This window comes from Homo sapiens, chromosome 22 (genome assembly GCF_000001405.40).
Source record: "Homo sapiens chromosome 22, GRCh38.p14 Primary Assembly".
NCBI classification, from domain to species: Eukaryota; Metazoa; Chordata; class Mammalia; order Primates; family Hominidae; genus Homo; species Homo sapiens.
The window spans coordinates 26,618,247-26,634,909 of record NC_000022.11 but is presented as its reverse complement, the minus strand read 5'-3'; the positions used below and the strand labels follow the sequence as shown (position 1 = coordinate 26,634,909).

At 47.4% G+C, this 16,663-nt stretch overlaps 1 protein-coding gene across 2 annotated transcripts in view, besides 2 other annotated features; it reads right to left on the bottom strand.

The window, feature by feature from the left end:
* Positions 1,684-2,434: a transcriptional cis regulatory region, noted in NCBI's record as "candidate enhancer chr22.1058 targeted for multiplex CRISPR interference". NCBI's record gives its function as "positively regulates TPST2 gene expression with high confidence in K562 cells {active_cell/tissue: K562}" and the evidence as "EXISTENCE:mutant phenotype evidence [ECO:0000015][PMID:30612741]".
* The window catches only part of CRYBA4 (crystallin beta A4), a 40,450-nt gene continuing 28,027 nt past the window's right edge, over positions 4,241-16,663 (bottom strand). Inside the window, exons 1-6 of one of the 2 annotated variants that reach the window (NM_001886.3) lie at positions 12,924-12,947; positions 12,275-12,325; positions 11,558-11,676; positions 9,288-9,429; positions 6,480-6,622; positions 4,241-4,570 (exon numbers count right to left, since the gene is read on the bottom strand). In NM_001886.3, the coding sequence (NP_001877.1) occupies positions 4,423-4,570; positions 6,480-6,622; positions 9,288-9,429; positions 11,558-11,676; positions 12,275-12,313 (591 nt within the window). In that variant the 5' untranslated portion in view covers positions 12,314-12,325; positions 12,924-12,947 and the 3' untranslated portion in view covers positions 4,241-4,422. Of the gene's footprint in view, positions 4,571-6,479; positions 6,623-9,287; positions 9,430-11,557; positions 11,677-12,274; positions 12,326-12,923; positions 12,948-16,663 lie in introns of those variants that run through there. The other variant, XM_006724140.4, reaches the window with a different exon arrangement.
* Positions 15,798-16,473: an enhancer, noted in NCBI's record as "H3K27ac-H3K4me1 hESC enhancer chr22:27014401-27015076 (GRCh37/hg19 assembly coordinates)". NCBI's record gives its function as "activates a minimal SCP1, AML or CMV promoter by ChIP-STARR-seq in primed H9 embryonic stem cells {active_cell/tissue: H9 hESC(primed)}" and the evidence as "EXISTENCE:reporter gene assay evidence [ECO:0000049][PMID:30033119]".

Here is a 16,663-nt window from a genome sequence, read left to right as displayed (position 1 = left end):
AGATTCAGGAAGAGGCTGGGCAAGGTGGCTCACAACTGTAATCCCAGCACTTTGGGAGGCGAAGGCAGGCAGATCACCTGAAGTCAGGAGTTCAAGATCAGCCTGGCCAACATGGCAAAACCCTGTCTCTACTAAAAACACAAAAATTAGCCAGGCATGGTGGCACACGCCTGTAATTCTAGCTACTCGAGAGGCTGAAGCAGGAGAAACTCTTGAACCTGGGAGGCGGAGACTGCAGCGAGCCAAGATCTCACCACTGCACTCCAGCCTGGGCAACAGAGTGAGACTCTGTCTTAATAATAATAATAATAATAATAATAATAACAATAATAATAATAAAAGAAGATGCAGGGAGAAAGGGGCCATCTACTAGCCATGGAGAGAGGTCTCAGGAAAAACCAGCCTTGCCGACACCTCTATCTTGGGATCCAGTCTCAAGAACTATGAGAAATATTTCTGTGGTTTAAGTCACCCAGGCTGTGGTATTGTGTTATAGCAACTGGAGCAGACTCATACACTTGCCCTCTTCTTCTTCTTCTTTGTTTTTTTAAATACAGAGACAGGGTCTTGCTATGTTGCCCAGGCTGGTCTCAAACTCCTGGGCTCAAGTGATTCTCCCACCTCAGCCTCCCAAAGTGCTGGGATTACAAGCATGAGCCACGGCACCTGACTTTTTGTTGTTGTTGTTCTTTCGGGGTGCTTTTTTTTTTTTTTTTTTTTTGATACAGTGTCTCTCCTCGCCCAGGCTGGAATGCAGTGGCACGATCACGGCTCACTTCAGCCTCAACCTCCCAGGCTTAAGTGATCCTCCCACCTCAGCCTCCCAAGTAGCTAGGGCCACAGGTGCACGCCACCAGACCTGGCTAACTTTTTAAAATTTTTTATGTAGAGATGGGATCTCAGTATGTTGCCCAGGCTGGTCTTGAACTCCTGGGCTCAAAGGATCCTACCACCTTGGCCTCCCAAAATGTTGGGATTACAGATGTTAGCCACCTGGCATCTTTAAAGAACAACCAATACAGGGACATGAGATCAAAATAGGTTGTGGGGAGAGTGGGGAGATGCAGATGATGACAAGCTTCACAGGACTGGGAATAATACTGGGTTTTTTTATTGTTGTTTTCTTGGCATGGTGGGGAGCATGGGAGGATTTTAAGCAGGAGTGTGACAAGATCTGCCTTACGTTTCTAGCAGGACCACTCTGAATGCTGGGCAGAGAGCAGATCACTCATGGGCAAAGACAAAAGCAGAGGGACTATGAGAAGGAGAGAGAAGAGGGTGGCTGGGACCAGAATGGCAGCAGTGGGCATGATGAGTGGGTTGGATTCTAATACATATTAAGAGTAGAGCTAGTGGCTGGGTGCCGTGGCTCATGCCTATAATCTCAGCACTTTGGGAGGCCGAGGCAGGCAAATCACTTGAGGTCAGGAGTTCGAGACCAGCCTGGTCAACATGGTGAAACCCTGTCTCTACAAAAAACGCAAAAATTAGCTGGGTGTGATGCACATGCCTGTAATCCTAGCTACTTGGGGGGCTGAGGCAGGAGAATCACTTGAACCTGGGAGGCAGAGGTTGCAGTGAGCTGAGATCGCGCCACTGCACTCCAGCCTGGGGACAAAGCAAGATGCCATCTAAAAAAAAAAAAAAAGAGTAGAGCTAGTAGGAATTGCCAATGGATTAGAATGTGAGGTGTGAGAGAAAGAGAAGGGTTATGGATCATTCCAGACATTTAGCCTGAACAACTTGAAAAGTGTAGCTTCAGTTATGTTTGGTCCGGTTTTGTTTGAGATGTGTATTAGACGTTCACATCAAGGTGTCAAGCAGTGGTCAGATGTTCTGGGACGGTCTGAGTAGAGGTAGGCACAAGAAGGGTCCGCCCCCCAACCCCATGCTTCCCGCCCCCACAGCCCCTATCATAGAATATTTGCAAACAGCTCTGTACTTTTCCGCATTCATTCCCCATTAAACTGAGTGAGAGAAAAAACTTTAGGTGTCATGTTTACCATTGTATGTCCCAGGCAAATGATCTGTTGAATAAATGGTACGATACAATGAGGAGTTAAAATTTACTGAGGCGCAAATGTTCCTAAACATTCCCCTCCCCTTCCTGAGCCAGATAATGTTATCTTTTCCAGCAGAATGTTCTGGTCCCCACCCCTTCCTGTCCCTATCAGACTGATCAGGGACATTTGTGGGCAGAGGAAGATGGGCCAAGAGAGCCTGAAACAAGAGCTAGAGGGCTCATGAGAGAGGTTTAGACAACCTATAAAATGCAGAACCAGGAGAAAGTAAGGAGGGGAGGAGAAAAAGAGAGATAGAAGAGACCAATCCTGCCACTTAGTCTTCAAGTGAAACAGGGGTTTCTTTGTTTTATAGGCTTTCTTTGGAGCATGGAGGGTGTTAAATGAGAAACTCCAGGGTAGTGTGTGTGAGAGAGAGAATTGGGAAGAGAGAAAAAAGGTATGAGAAGTGTCAGGCCTCTGAGCCCAAGCCATCGCATCCCCTGTGACTTGCACGTATACATCCAGATGGCCTGAAGTAACTGAAGATCCACAAAAGAAGTAAAAACAGCCTTAACTGATGACATTCCACCATTGTGATTTGTTCCTGCCCCACCCTAACTGATCAATGTACTTTGTAATCTCCCCCACCCTTAAGAAGGTACTTTGTAGTCTCCCCCACCCTTAAGAAGGTTCTTTGTAATTCTCCCCACCCTTGAGAAAGTACTTTGTGAGATCCACCCCTGCCCACCAGAGAACAACCCCCTTTGACTGTAATTTTCCATTACCTTCCCAAATCCTATAAAATGGCCCCACCCCTATCTCCCTTCGCTGACTCTCTTTTTGGACTCAGCCCGCCTGCACCCAGGTGAAATAAACAGCCATATTGCTCACACAAAGCCTGTTTGGTGGTCTCTTCACACGGACGCGCGTGAAAAGAAGTTTTGCTAGGGGAGAGAACTGACTCTCCATGCGTGGCTTTGAAAACCACAAGCTAGGAACAATTTATCAAGAAGACATAGCAATCATAAATATATGTACACCTAACAACAGAGCATCACAATTCCTGAAGGAAAAAAAAAATCAGGAAGCAAAAATAGACAAAACTAAGGTAAGAAACAGATAAATCCAAATAATCAATGATTCTTTCTATGTAATTCACTAAAATTGATTTTTTAAAAACAAGCTGCGGTGAACTATGATTGTGCCATTATACTCCTGCCTGGGTGACAGAATGAGATCCTGTCTCAAAAAAAAAAAAAAAAATCAGCAAGGGTATAGAAAAATCGCATCAACACTGTTAACAAATTTGATCTGACATTTACAGAACACTGTACCCAATAACTGCAGAATATAAATAGTTTTCAAGTGTACTACCAAGCCTTTCAAAGATAGACCATGTGGCCAGGAGCAGTGGCTCAGGCCTGTAATCCTGGCACTTTGGTAGGCTGAGGCAGGCAGATGTCCTGAGCTCAGGAGTTCAAGACAAGCTTGGGCAACATGGCGAACGCTGTCACTACCAAATACAAAAATTACCAGGTGTGGTGGCACACACCTGTAATCTCAGCTGCTTGTGGGGCTAAGGCAGAATTGCTTGAACCTGGGAGGTCGAGGCTGCAGTGAGACAAGATTGCACCACTGCACTCCAGCCTGGGTGACGAGTGAAACCTTGACTCATTAAAAACAAAACAAACAAACAAACAAAAAATAAAATTAAAATACAAAAACCATGTGCTGGGCCATAAAATAAGTCTTAATTCATTGCAGAAGACTTAAATCTTAAGGAATATGTTCTCCGACCACATTGGTCTTTAAAAACACACCAATAACAATAAACACCTAGAAAATCCTAAAGTATTTGGAATTTAAATAACATCCCTTTAAATAGCCCATAGGTCAAAAGAAAAAAAAAAAACCACAAGTGAAACTAGAAAATATCAAACTGAATGACAATGAAAACACATCAAATTAATATTTGTGGGAAGCAGCTAAAGCCATACTTGGAGGGAAATTTATAGCTAAATGACCGTACTGGGTGGGGGAAAGAGAGGCCTAAAATTAATGACCCAGAAGTCTGCCTTAAAAAAAAGCTAGAAAAACTAAGAACAAAGTAGGCCTGAAGTAAATAGAAGAAAGGAAATACTGAAGTTAAGAGTAAAAATCAGTGGAATAATGATAGAGAAAACAAGGCTAAAAACCGGTTCTTTGAAAAGATTAATAAAATTGAAAAGCACAACTAATACCAGACTTTCTCTTTTTTATTCGTTTGAGTTTTTTGTGCTGACTGTGCACGGACCAGTTCACATGGGTGCTGGGTTCACACAGGTTACAGGGGGAGGCAGAAGGAGAGAACACACCACAGCCTCCAGAGCGCCTCCATTGCAGATAAGCACGCATGCGCTCCTCCGTGCCGCACCCCTGTTCACTGCTGGATCCTGCGGATGCTCTGCACCTGGAAGGTCGGGGCATGAGAGCCCCACTCCCGGAAATGTTTGTAGTCACCGGAATGGTGATCGCATTCCAGCACATACTGAAATCCTCGGTAGCCCGGAAACTGGGAGCAAACCCAGCTGGAAAAGAGAAAAGGCAGACAGTTACTCTACAGAGACACCAGCATGGTGATCAACACAGGGGCAAAGGGATCTATGCACACGCACACAATTCCAGCCATCCTGGCCTTTCTTCAGTGCTCACAATGTGCCATGCTCTCTCCCCTACCACAGGGCCTTTGATCATGCCATTCCCTTTGCCAGAAGCACCATCCCAGCCTTTCTTTTCCTAGACAAGTTGTATTTGTCCTTCATGGCTCATCTTAATTATGAGGGCAATCTGACTCGTTCCCCAAATCAGGCCACAGTCCCTTATTATACCTTTGTAGCACTCATGTAATTCGATAGTTTTCAAATTATTTGTAAAATATCAGCCTCCCCTGCCAGCAGGCAAGCTCCTGAGTGTAGGAACGTGTATGTTTTGTTCATCGTTATCACCACCTGCATAAATATATAAAAGTCTAGCAAGGAAGAAGGGGTTCCTAAATATTTGCTGAATAAGTGAACAAGTGAAGGAATGGGAAGTCTTGTTCTTTCCCCTTTCTCCCTCCTTCCTTATCCAGAGGCACTTCCAAGAAAAAAAGCTATCATTTCAATTCATTGATTTTTTTTTTTTTTTTTTTTTTGAGACAGAGTCTCACTCTGTTGCCCAGACTGGAGTGCCGTGGCATGACCTCGGCTCACTGCAACCTCTGCCTCCTGGGTTCAAGTAATTCTGCCTCATCCGAGTGGCTGGGACTAGAGGCATAGCCACGACACCCAGCTAATTTTTTGTATTTTTAGTAGAGACGGGCTTTCACCATGTTGGCCAGGCTGGTCTCGAACTCCTGACCTCAGGTGATCCGCCCACCTCAGCCTCCCAAAGGGCTGGGATTACAGGCGTGAGCCACCGTGTCTGGCCCAACTCATTGATTTCTACTCTGTTCAGGACAAGGATTGGTGTCTGGTTTTCCAAGCCTCCATTTCCCTTTCTGTAAAAGAGGAAGTGAACTCAAGAATCACAAGGGGTCCCTCTTACTCTAAAACAACATGATTCTTTGGTGGTTCCTGAGAAAACTAAAGCCAAAAAAAGAAAAAAAAAAAAGATGAAAAACCCTACCTCCCATCTTTGCCCCCTGCCTACCAGGAGCCAAGGGGCACCTCAGAAAGTGGTTCTGATGTCCTCCCTAAATAAGAATCTCACACCTTAGCCTTCACCTGCCACCTCCTGGGTGGAAAGGAAAGGGCCAGTCAGTGCTGAGTTTGAAGCTGGATTGTTACCTACCTGCTGATGGACTTTGAGCAGGTTGCTGGAGCCACACCTGTGTTTTATGGCTAGGGGCATTCATTCTCCCCTCTTCTAGCCAAAGAGCCTGTGGCCTCTCACTCTCAGCCAAGGTGAGAAAATGAGGCTGAATCTAGCAATGGACCACATGACCAAACCTAGCCAATCAGAACACCCCATTCCTATGGGCATGATGATTGGTTCAGAGTTGAGCACAGGACCCAGCTGGACCAATGAGCACCTTTCTTGGAACCTTTAATAGAATCACTGAGCCTGGACACTGTCTTTCCCTAGGGCTGGATGTAACGATGAAGCCGCCACCTTTGCCTTCACACAGGAAGAGCTTGTCTAAGAATATAGTCACACAGAGGCAGGCAGGGCAACAGGTTGGGGGTTGTGGGGGGAGAGAGATACCTGCTGTAGTACCTGGATCCAGCTATGCTTGAAGCTAATTACAGGGGCTGATAAATATCTTCTGGGCTCAAACCAGTTTGATCTGGGTTTCAGTCCCTCAAATTCTGCCTGATACCTCCCTGTGCCTCAGTGTTCTCCTCTGGAATGTGGGCATCAGAGCACAAAAGTCCCCAGCACACAGTTTTCACAGGAGGTACACCTACCCCTCCCAGTAGCCCCTCCCCTGCCAGGTAGAGCCTTGAATACACTTACGCCCCAGAGTGGACGTGGAAGGACCCTACTTCATTGCCTTCCCATCCCATGGCCTGGAGGGAAGGATAGTCATCGCTCAGCTCTCCTTTCTTGCCCAGGAAGTTCTCTTGCTCGAAGATTGTCAGCCTCGAGTCACGGTGGTTCTACAGGAACAGGGAACACAGTCAGACCAGCAGGCTCCCAGTTGGAAACCCAGGAGCCTCTCCTGGCCTCCACACTCCCTGCCCTTGTCTCCCAAATCAGCCTTCCTTGCAAACCTTTTGGAAGGGCAATAAGGCAACAGGTACCAGAAACCTTGCCATTTGCCCTTCCAGAAATTTCCACAAAGAAAATAATCATGGAATAAATAGGCTGCAAGAATGTTCATCATAACAGTTTTTTCAAAAACAAACAAACAAAAAAAGGAGTCAACTTTTATGTCCAAAATTGGGGATCCAGTGGTAAGCTGAGGCATTACACTGTGGTTAAGAAAAAGGGTGTAGAGGCCCGGCGCGGTGGCTCACGCCTATAATCCCAGCATTTTGGGAGGCCGAGGAGGGTGGATCACCTGAGGTCAGGAGTTCAAGACCAGCCCGACGAACATGGTGAAACCCTGTCTCTACTAAATACAAAAAATTAGCCAAGCGTGGTGGCACATGCCTGTAATCTCAGCTACTTGGGAGACTGAGGCAGGAGAATCGCTTGAACCTGGGAGGCAGAGGTTGCAGTGAGCCGAGATTGTGGCATTGCACTCCAGCCTGGACAACAAAAGCAAAAACTCCATCAAAAGAAAGAAAGAAAGAAAGAGAGAGAGAGAAGGAAGGAAGGAAGGAGAGAGAGAGAAAGAGAAAGAAAGAAAGAGAAAAAGAAAGAAAAAGAAAGACAGAGAATGAAAGAAGGAAAGAAAGAAAGAAAAGGAAAGAAAGAGAAAGAAAGAAAGAAAGAAAGAAAGAAAGAAAGAAAAGGAAAGAAAGAGAAAGAAAGAAAGAAAGAAAAAGAAAGAAGGAAAGAAAGAAAGAAAGAAAAAGAAAGAAAGAAAGAAAGAAAGAAAGAAAGAAAGAAAGAAAGAAAGAAAGAAAGAAAGAAAGAAAGGAGGGAGGGAGGGAGGGAGGGAGGGGAAAGGAAAAGAAAAGAAAAGAAAAAAGAAGGAAAGAAAGGAGGTGTAGAGATATCATCTCAAATCCTTCCTGCTAGGAGGCAGCTGCCACTTACCAACTGACTGAGGTTAGACAGGATTTCTGAGCCTCTGTTCCTGTATCTATAAAATGAAACTAACCCTACCCATTTTTCAGGGTTCTTTTGAGGACTAAATGAAATCAGGAGTTGCAAACTGCTGGGAATGAGGGATTGTTTCTGTTGCAGCCCGCCACGGGTCCCTATATTAGCACAATATCTAGACTGTTTGCAGAATAAATGAACAAATGGACTTATTCACAAAACAGAATACTAGGGAGCTATGAAAAACGATGGAAGTGAGATTTAATCACCTGGACTGATGATTGCGACACATTTGCTCAGTGAGAAAAGCTAGTTTCCAAGCCTTAGATTCATTATGATTCCAATTTTATGACAAAATTATGTGTGCAATATAGATAAGATATATAGATTATACAGATATAGATGTAGATGTTGATTTGGATGTGTATATACATAGAGACACAAATGTATAGGTTGAACATCCCTAACCTAAAAATCCGAAATCCAAAATGCTCCAAAATCTAAAACTTTTTGAGTGACGACATGACACTCAAAGAATGCTCACTGCAGTATTTCAGATTTTGGATTTTTGGATTCAGGCTGCTCAACTGTAAGTATTACAAATATTGCAAAATCTGGGGAAAATATTCAAAATCCAAAACACTTCTGGTCCCAAGCATTTCAGGTAAGGGATACTCAACCCTGACCATAGCAGGATTTTCCTTCAGAATTTTGGATGGTAAATATGGTGACTTATGTCATTTTAAATCAATAAGAATTGAAAAATAAAACACACTTTGTTGTTTTTGTGTTTGTTTGTTTGTTTTTGTTTTTTTGTTTTGTTTTGTTTTGAGACAGAGTCTTGCTCTGGCGCCCAGGCTGGAATGCAGTGGTGCGATCTTGGCTCACTGCAACCTCTGTCTCCCGGGTTCAAGTGATTCTCCTGCCTCAGCCTCCTGAGTAGCTGGGACTACAGGCATGTGCCACCACACTCAACTAATTTTTTTGTATTTTCAGTAGAGACAGGGTTTCACCATGTTGGCCAAGCTGATCTTGAACTCCTGGCCTCAAGTGATCTACCCGCCTTGGCCTCCCAAAGTGCTGGGATTACAGGTGTGAGCCACCATGCCCAGCCTAAAATACACCTTTCTGAGCCTCAATGTTTTCATTGGTGAGATGGGAATAATAATGCCCACCTCCACCCACACTCCAAAAACAGCAGTAAAATGTAAGATCAGGAGCACTGATGCTGAATTAGGAGCAAGAAATGAAACCTTTCCTCTCCACTTGGCCCTACCATCCCTGGTACCCAGATTCTCTCAGGGTCCCTGAATCACAAAAAAAAAAGGGCACAAAACTGGCAGGGGCTCCTATCACAACCAGGGTTGCTGTGAGCAGAGAGTTTAAGGCAGGCTCTGGTCAGATGTTATACGTTCTTCTTCCCAAGAACATTGGTACTATTGCCCCATTTCAAGATGAAGAAACCGAGGCTTGGAGAGGAAAGAGACTGAACAGCCCTTGTCACACAGCTTGAAGTGGCGACATGAGAATTTCAACTCTGGAACCTTTGATTCCGAAGTGCCCACATGAGGGGCTTGGGCCTCCCCGGGATGCAGCAGTGGTAGAACTTACAGCACAGGCCGCAGGCCGGAAGGAGGTGAGCCTCTCGGCGGGGTAGGCCGTGTTGCCGCCCCAGGCATCCCAGCTTGGATATTCGCCTCGTTCCAGAATGTACTGCTGCCCTTGGAAGCCAGCATGCTCAAAGCCCACCCACCTGCAGACAGAGGGTAGAGTGTGCAGGAGGTAAGCGTCCCCCTCACCCTGCATTCTAGACCAGCAATTGGGTCTAGAACGGTCACAGTCACAACCATTCAGGGGTGACTGTGCCCCCAGGAAACACTTGACGATGGCTGGAGACATTTTTGGTTGTCACGACTAGGGGAGGGACTGCGAAGGCCATCTATCGGGTAGAGGCCAGGGATACCACTAAACATCCCATAATGCACAGGCCAGCCTTCCCTGCAAAGGATGATCCAGCCCGAAACATCAGTAGCGCCAGAGTTGAGGAACCCAGCTCTAGACCTCACTTGCTGTGTGTCCCATAGGTAGGGAAACTGCTTCACACAGGTGCCCTGACAACCTTGCTCCTCCGTCCGTGTCCACAGAGGCCAAGGAGGCAAAGCTGATCACAGACTGATCTCACCTTGGTGGAATTCCCCGTGATCCTGCCAGGGTGTGGGAGACGGGCAGTCTTGCAAGGAGCGACCGCATGGCCATCTCTCATTTTCCTCCCTCTCTTGTGGGAGGCTGCCACGAGGCAGCCCCTCATCTGCCTCTCTGGCCACTCTGAGATGTGGGGCTTTCCACCTCGCCTCCCCACAGGCGACAGCAGCAAGCTATCGTTGAAGCATGGAAGCAGCTCTTCAGCCACGGGGTTCCTACCATTCCTAATGCCTGTCATTCAGCCCCCTTTGTTTTGGTGTCGTCCAGTAGGACAAGGGACACAGGAGGCTGCACCTTGCCTTTACTGTCTGTATAAGTAATAAACTGTCTGAATCTATCCAAGCTCATTGTCTGCTTACTGGCTGAGTCTGTCAGCCTGCTGGACATACCCCTAGAAAGCCTCTGTTCCCATCTGACCCCCATTCCCCACCTGCACAAATCAGAAGCTAAAAGAGTATTTACTAAAGCATGAGATGTGCAAAAATCACCCAAGATGACCTCAGGTGGCACTCACAGGTGTAGCATTAAGTGACTCCAAATCTCCTATCTACTTTCCAAACTTCTACAACCTTCTATCCAATATGGTAGCTACTGGCCACATCTCCTGTCTATCTACTTTCCAACTTTCTAGAACCTTCTATCCAATATGGTAGCTACTGGCCACATTGCCTTTCTAGCTACTTTCCAACCTTCTAGAACCTTCTATCCAATATGGAAGCTACTGGCCACATCTCCTTTCGATCTACTTTCCAAACTTCTAGAACTTTTATCCAGTATGGTAGCTACTGGCCACACCTCCTTTCTATTTACTTTCCTGCCTTCTAGAAACTTCTATCCAATATGGTAGCTACTGGCCACATCTTTCCAACTACTTTCCAAACTTCTAGAGCCTTCTATCCAATATGGTAGCTACTGGCCACATCTCCTTTCTACCTGCTTTCCAACCTTCTAGAACCTTCTATCTAATATGGTAGCCACTGGCCATATGTAGCTAATTAAATTTAAACTTAAATAAATTAAGATTAAACAAGATTCAGTTCTCTACTCATGCTGGCTACCTTTCAAATCCTCAATGGTCACATCTGGCCAGTGGCTCTGAAATGGATGGTGTAGATGTAGAACATCTCCATCATTGCAGACAGGTCCACTGAATGACACTGGTCTAGAAAGTCTTGGTGTGTTATTAGTGTGTCCTTAACACCTCTCTGTGTCTCACTAATCTCTCTCTCTCACTCTCTTTTTTGTTTTTTAATTTTTTTTTTTTTTACAAAAAATGATCAGGCCACATGCTTAGCAGCAAGACTATTTAGCTAAAAATTAATAGCATTAAAACATTATGTTTATTTTTACAGTTACCTTCTACTTTAGGCGGGTGATGTTGGCTTTCAATTTACGGCTGGGAGGGACATTTTTAGATCCAACACTGGATTCTAAGGATCTCCTGCAGAACTGCCTCATCCAGTGGGCAGGGTCTGTGTAAATGGCACCCTCCTACTGTTGGGCAGTGCGCAACCTGCATAATCTTACATGGCAGTCCTGCACACTCCTCAGTACTTCAGGAGGGCACAACAGTAAGAGCCTAGGGAGAGGGGACCTAGAATATCTAAAAGTCCTAGCACCCGTCTCTAGGTCCCTTCCTGTCCACCCTCTACCCCAACTCAGTGTCCCCCTAGACTCACGCTCCACTCAGCACTTTCAAAGATCGCACAGTCTCGAAGCCAAGCTCCAGCACGCTGGGGCACTCGGCCGTGAACTCGTGCCGCCGGCCCTGGAAGCCGTCCTCATCCCACACCACCATCTGTGCCAGGAAAAAAAAAAGGTGGAGATCCGCATCAGAGTCCCGTGAAGGGTGAGAGGTTGGGGGCTCGCCCCAGGATCTGGCAGGTAAAGCAGGGATTGCAAACTCAGATTCCTCCAGGAGCCAGGAAGGCAAGAGCAGTGATAAATGTGAGACACTAGACAGCACAGGTGCCAGGTAAATGGGTGGCCTCTTCCCAGTGCCACCAATGGTTGCCAAGTGGGAATGCAGGCCAGACCTTCCAATTTCTCAAGACAATCACTAGATCTGGACTTTTATGTGGTTCTTCCAGGCTTTTAAAGGCTGATGATAAATCCAAAAGCTTTATAAAACAAACAAACACACACAGAGATGGTCAAAGAAATCATGCCCAAAGACTGCAACCTCTGCCAAAGAGTGTAACAGGTCAACTTTGGGAACCAGAAGACCCAAATTCACATTCAACCTCCCTGTATGTGACATACAAGTCCCTTCTCAACTCTGAGCCTTGATTGCACCTCTGTGAAATAGGCATTTATAATGCCCCCCTCCTAGGATTCATGGGGACCTGAACCCTCCCCATACCCCCTGAACACCCCCTCCCCATGCCTCTTCCTACCTTCCAGGGTCCCGCTGACTTTGTGCATTGCAGGGTCATTGTGGCCCCTTCCTGCAGAAGAGAAGAACATTATAATCTTCCACCCTGACCCTCTGCTCTCCTCTTTATGCAGATGGCTGGCTTGGACCTGGTCAGGATCCACATAGGGAGTCCAGGAGTGACTGGGCTAGGGGCAATGCATGGCTTTGGCCTGTCCCTCTCCTGTCCTTTCCATCTGTCACCAATGCCATCTTCCATCCTATCCCCATCTCAAAACTCACCCTTGCTGGGTCTCATTGACTCTGAGCCCCACTCTGTATTCTCTTATCTGCTTGTTATGGGAAAATTTTTGTGGCTGCTGGTGGGTGGGTGCATCACCCCAGCGAGTGCTGAAATGCTCAGCATAAGAGAGCCCTTCCAAAGACAGCACCTAGCTCAAAGAGGTAGCTCTGATGGTGGAAATTTAGGCAATAGGGCTACAGGAATAATTTGTTTTTAAATGAGGGAAGCAGGTGCTGGTCTTGATGGTTGGGGCTCATCCTTGGTTAGGATGAGGATGGCATTCAGGATGACACAGTGACATCCCTAGGACTGGGGACCTGGGTTCCTCGCCTCCCAGAATGCTCACTCAGAACTCTGATCCCACCCCTCCTCCAAACCTGGGACTTACCGAGATAGGCCCAGGGAACATGTCAGATCTGAGACCAGCCGAGGTCGGGCTCTTATAGGCAGGGAGGGAAGAGGGGCCCCTGGGAGACAAAGCCCCGACTCAGCAACTGGGCCACAGAAACAAAAGCCAGCCCTGGCTGAAGAGCCAATGGCAAGCCGTCAGCAGCTCTGGCTTTAGCAGGGAGGGAAAGGACCAGATCACCACCCCCAGGGATCAGCCACGAAGAAGGAGAGAGGTGGAATATTGGCCCTCATCAGCCCCACAAGGTTCCTGACTAGAGCAGGAGAATGAGCACTAGATGAGGAGTCCAGAAGCATCCTTCCTAGCTATGTGAGCTCCAGCGAGTCATTTCCCCTCAATTTCTGCCTATAAAATGGGGCAGAAACAAACCATATCACAGAGTTGTTGTGAGGTTACATAACATGCCTGGTACAGAGTAAACATTCAGGAAATGCCTATTCCTTTCCTTCTCTCTTTCCCCTTTCTCTTCCAGTTGAAGCAATCCAGATAGGCTTGCCGTTAGAGGAGGCATTTGAACTAGACTCTGAAGGATGAGGAAGATATGTACAGAGTGAGATGGAAGGAGAGGCATTCTAAGAAAAAGTTCAGAGGTGGGAACTTGGGGCACATGTACAAGAAAGAGCTGGTAGCCCAATTGGCCTGGAGCTCAGGGGACCTGAAGGGAAGTGAGGCAGGAGAAGAGGGCTAGGCCAGGGCCTGCTGGGTCCACAAAGCCTGAAGATGAATCCGGATGGCACTGTGGGCAGCATAGAGGAGCTGTTAGTTGCAAACATGCTTTGCAAACTGTGGCACACTTGCCAAATATCCAGGACTTGTACAATTTGCTGTGTGCCTCTTGTCCCGAAACCCTGCCCTCTGAATTGGCGTATGAGGGACCTAAGAGGTCCCTCATACATACATACTTGTGTGTAAAATGGGTGTAACAAGCATAGGAAAACAGCATGACTGGAAACCAGATCATCTGAGATGAAATCCAGCCCTGCTTCTTTCTTACCATCCGTGTGACCTGGAGGACACCTGAGTCCTGCTCATGACCTGTAAAGTGGCCACACCAGTTTCCTTTTAAGAGGGTGAAATGCAGCTCTATCAAACGCATGACTTTAGGCTGGGCGCAATGGCTCACGCCTGTAATCTCAGCACTTTGGGAGGCCGAGGTGGGTGGATCACCTGAGGTCAGGAGTTCAAGACCAGGCTGGCCAACATGGTGAAACCCCGTCTCTACTAAAAACACAAAAATTAGCCGGGAGTAGCGCGGGCGCCTGTAATCCCAGCTACTAGGGAGGCTGAGGCAGGAGAATTGCTTGAACCTGGAGGCAGGGGTTTCAGTGAGCCAAGATCATGCCATTTCTCTTGACCCTGGGTGACAGAGCAAGACCCCGTCTCAAAAAAAAAAAAAAAAAAAAAAAAAAGGAATGCATGACTTTGATGAAGGGTTGGCATGAAAATGAAAGGTTAACAATGCACCCTCTACAGCCAGACTGCCTGGGTTTGCATCCCACTGGTGCTGGCTGGGTAACTTTTAAGCATGTTACTTACGCACTCTGAGCCTCAGTTTACTTGTGTGTAAAATGGGTGTAACAAGGTAAGTTGGGATTAGTCTAAGAAACAGGGGGATTGTGAGGATAAATGTGAATAGCACATGAACAGCAGCTGGAATTGCTCCTGCAACATAAAAAATATTGTGGTATTTCCATCATCTTCATCATCACCATTGCTAATAAGAAAGATGATTATTATTAATTGTTGATCAAAAAGCAGGGGTGCATAGTTTTTAAGAGCCTGGGTTCATGAGTAAAGAAGATGTGAGTTCCAATTTTATCTTACATTTCCATTTTTATGAGAAAGTGGCTGAGAGAGAGGAAGGAAAGGGAGTTGCTTCAGTTTCCTTATCCGTAATTGGGGTTAATCCCAGAGACTTCATCCTTATACTGAGGAGTACAGGACAATGCAAAAAAAAAAAAAGAAAAGAAAAAAAGAAAAGAAAATAAATTGGCTCCATAAGACAGGGCAAAAAAGAAAAAGATATAATGAAGGATACAATAATAATAATAAATGCTCAGAGTGGAGCCACCAACATGGTGGGCCATCCCCCTTCTCTGCCCCCACCCTCTGGCAGACAGCCCATTCCTGGGGCTTTAGGGGGGGCACGGAACTGCCCCAGATGACCTGGCTTTGAAGCCTAGACTGGTGGGTGGGCCCTCACCACAGGCGTCTTGGCCCCAGTTCCAGTGGCTACCCCATCTTGCAGTTCCTGCCCACACCCCACCCACCAAGTCTTGGCCCAGGATGAAAGGCCAAGGAGAGGCTAGGAAGCGAGGGGGTGCTGGGTGGTGGAGGGACAGAGGCAAAGCTGGCTCCAGGCCAGGGAGAGTTCAAGACAGAGCTGGGCTCCACGGGGAGCCTAGAACCCCGAAAAAGAAGAGACAGGAGCCTATCCAGATGCCCCCGCAATATACCCTGCCTGGGACTGGGGAGCCGACTGCAGGTGACCTAGCTGAGCAGCTCCCCAGGCTCCTTCTGACCCCAGCTGTACTGTGAGTTCCCGCCATGTGACTATGTTGAAGTCATTTGTTCCACCTGGGCCTCGGTTTCTCCATTTGTGAAATGGGAGGATTGGGCCCTGTGATTTCTGGCGTCTGTTCCTCCGTCCTGAGGCTTGATCACCCCAACTTGACCTCTGTCTCTCCGTCTCTCGCTCCTTCACTGTCCATGTCCCCTGTGCCTCTCTGTGTCTCTGTCTCCACCTCTCTCTTTGTCTGTTACTTCTATCTGCCTCCTTACTTCTCTCTCCTTGCCTTGGTTTCCCTATCTCCTCCGTACCCTACCTTCTGTTCCGATCCATTGGAACCACCATTGAGTCACCAGTTATTGACTGAGAACCCATGATGTGCCAAGCTCTACCTAGCCAGGCCCAGCTAGGTGCTGGGGCCAGTGGTGAACAAGATGTGGTGGGCATCTGGGGCTTGCCAGGGCAGGAGGCTCTGGGACAGGCAGTCATATTTCTGGCCACCAGCACTGTCCTCCAGGTCAGATAACGTGGCCTGGGTAGAGGCGGGGAACTGGGGTGGCGAGAGGGATCACTGTCGATAGGTCAGGAAAGGATGGGGCCCAATGTGGGGAAAAGAAAAAGACCCAGGTCTCCGATATCCAACCCAGCTGAGCACAGTGCGACTCTCCCATTCCCACCCCAACCTACAAAGAGGAAGTCAGGCCAGGGGGCCTCAGGCCAAGGTCAAGGCTGGACAGCAGGAGAAGAAAGCACACAGGCCCAGAGCTGGCTGGCCTGGGCTGGCTCTGACCTCTCTGTGCCTTCACTTTCCTCTTCTGTGAAATGGGCATAATGAAAGTACCAAATAAGGCAGATTGTCCCGGGGACTGACCGAGATAACACGGGTTCGGCACACAGTAAGCACTCCGTAAAAAAGGCTGTCCATATCAAACCCACATCTGCCTTTACAAAACGCTTCTGTGCTCATTGTCACCTTCTTTTCTATATGGCATCCAACAGGGACACGTGCCCACCTTATAATTGCAGACACAGAGGCCCCCCTAGGGGTAGAGACCTACCAAAAGCCACACAGCGCGCAGTGGCTGAGTCAGGATTCAAACTCTGGTCTCCTGCCTCCCAGGGTCTCCCCTTTTCCCTGCCCCATGTTGGCAGCCAGCAGGGACCCTTTTGGGGGCCCATCCCTGGCTGGGGTTGTTGAGAAAGGAGTCAG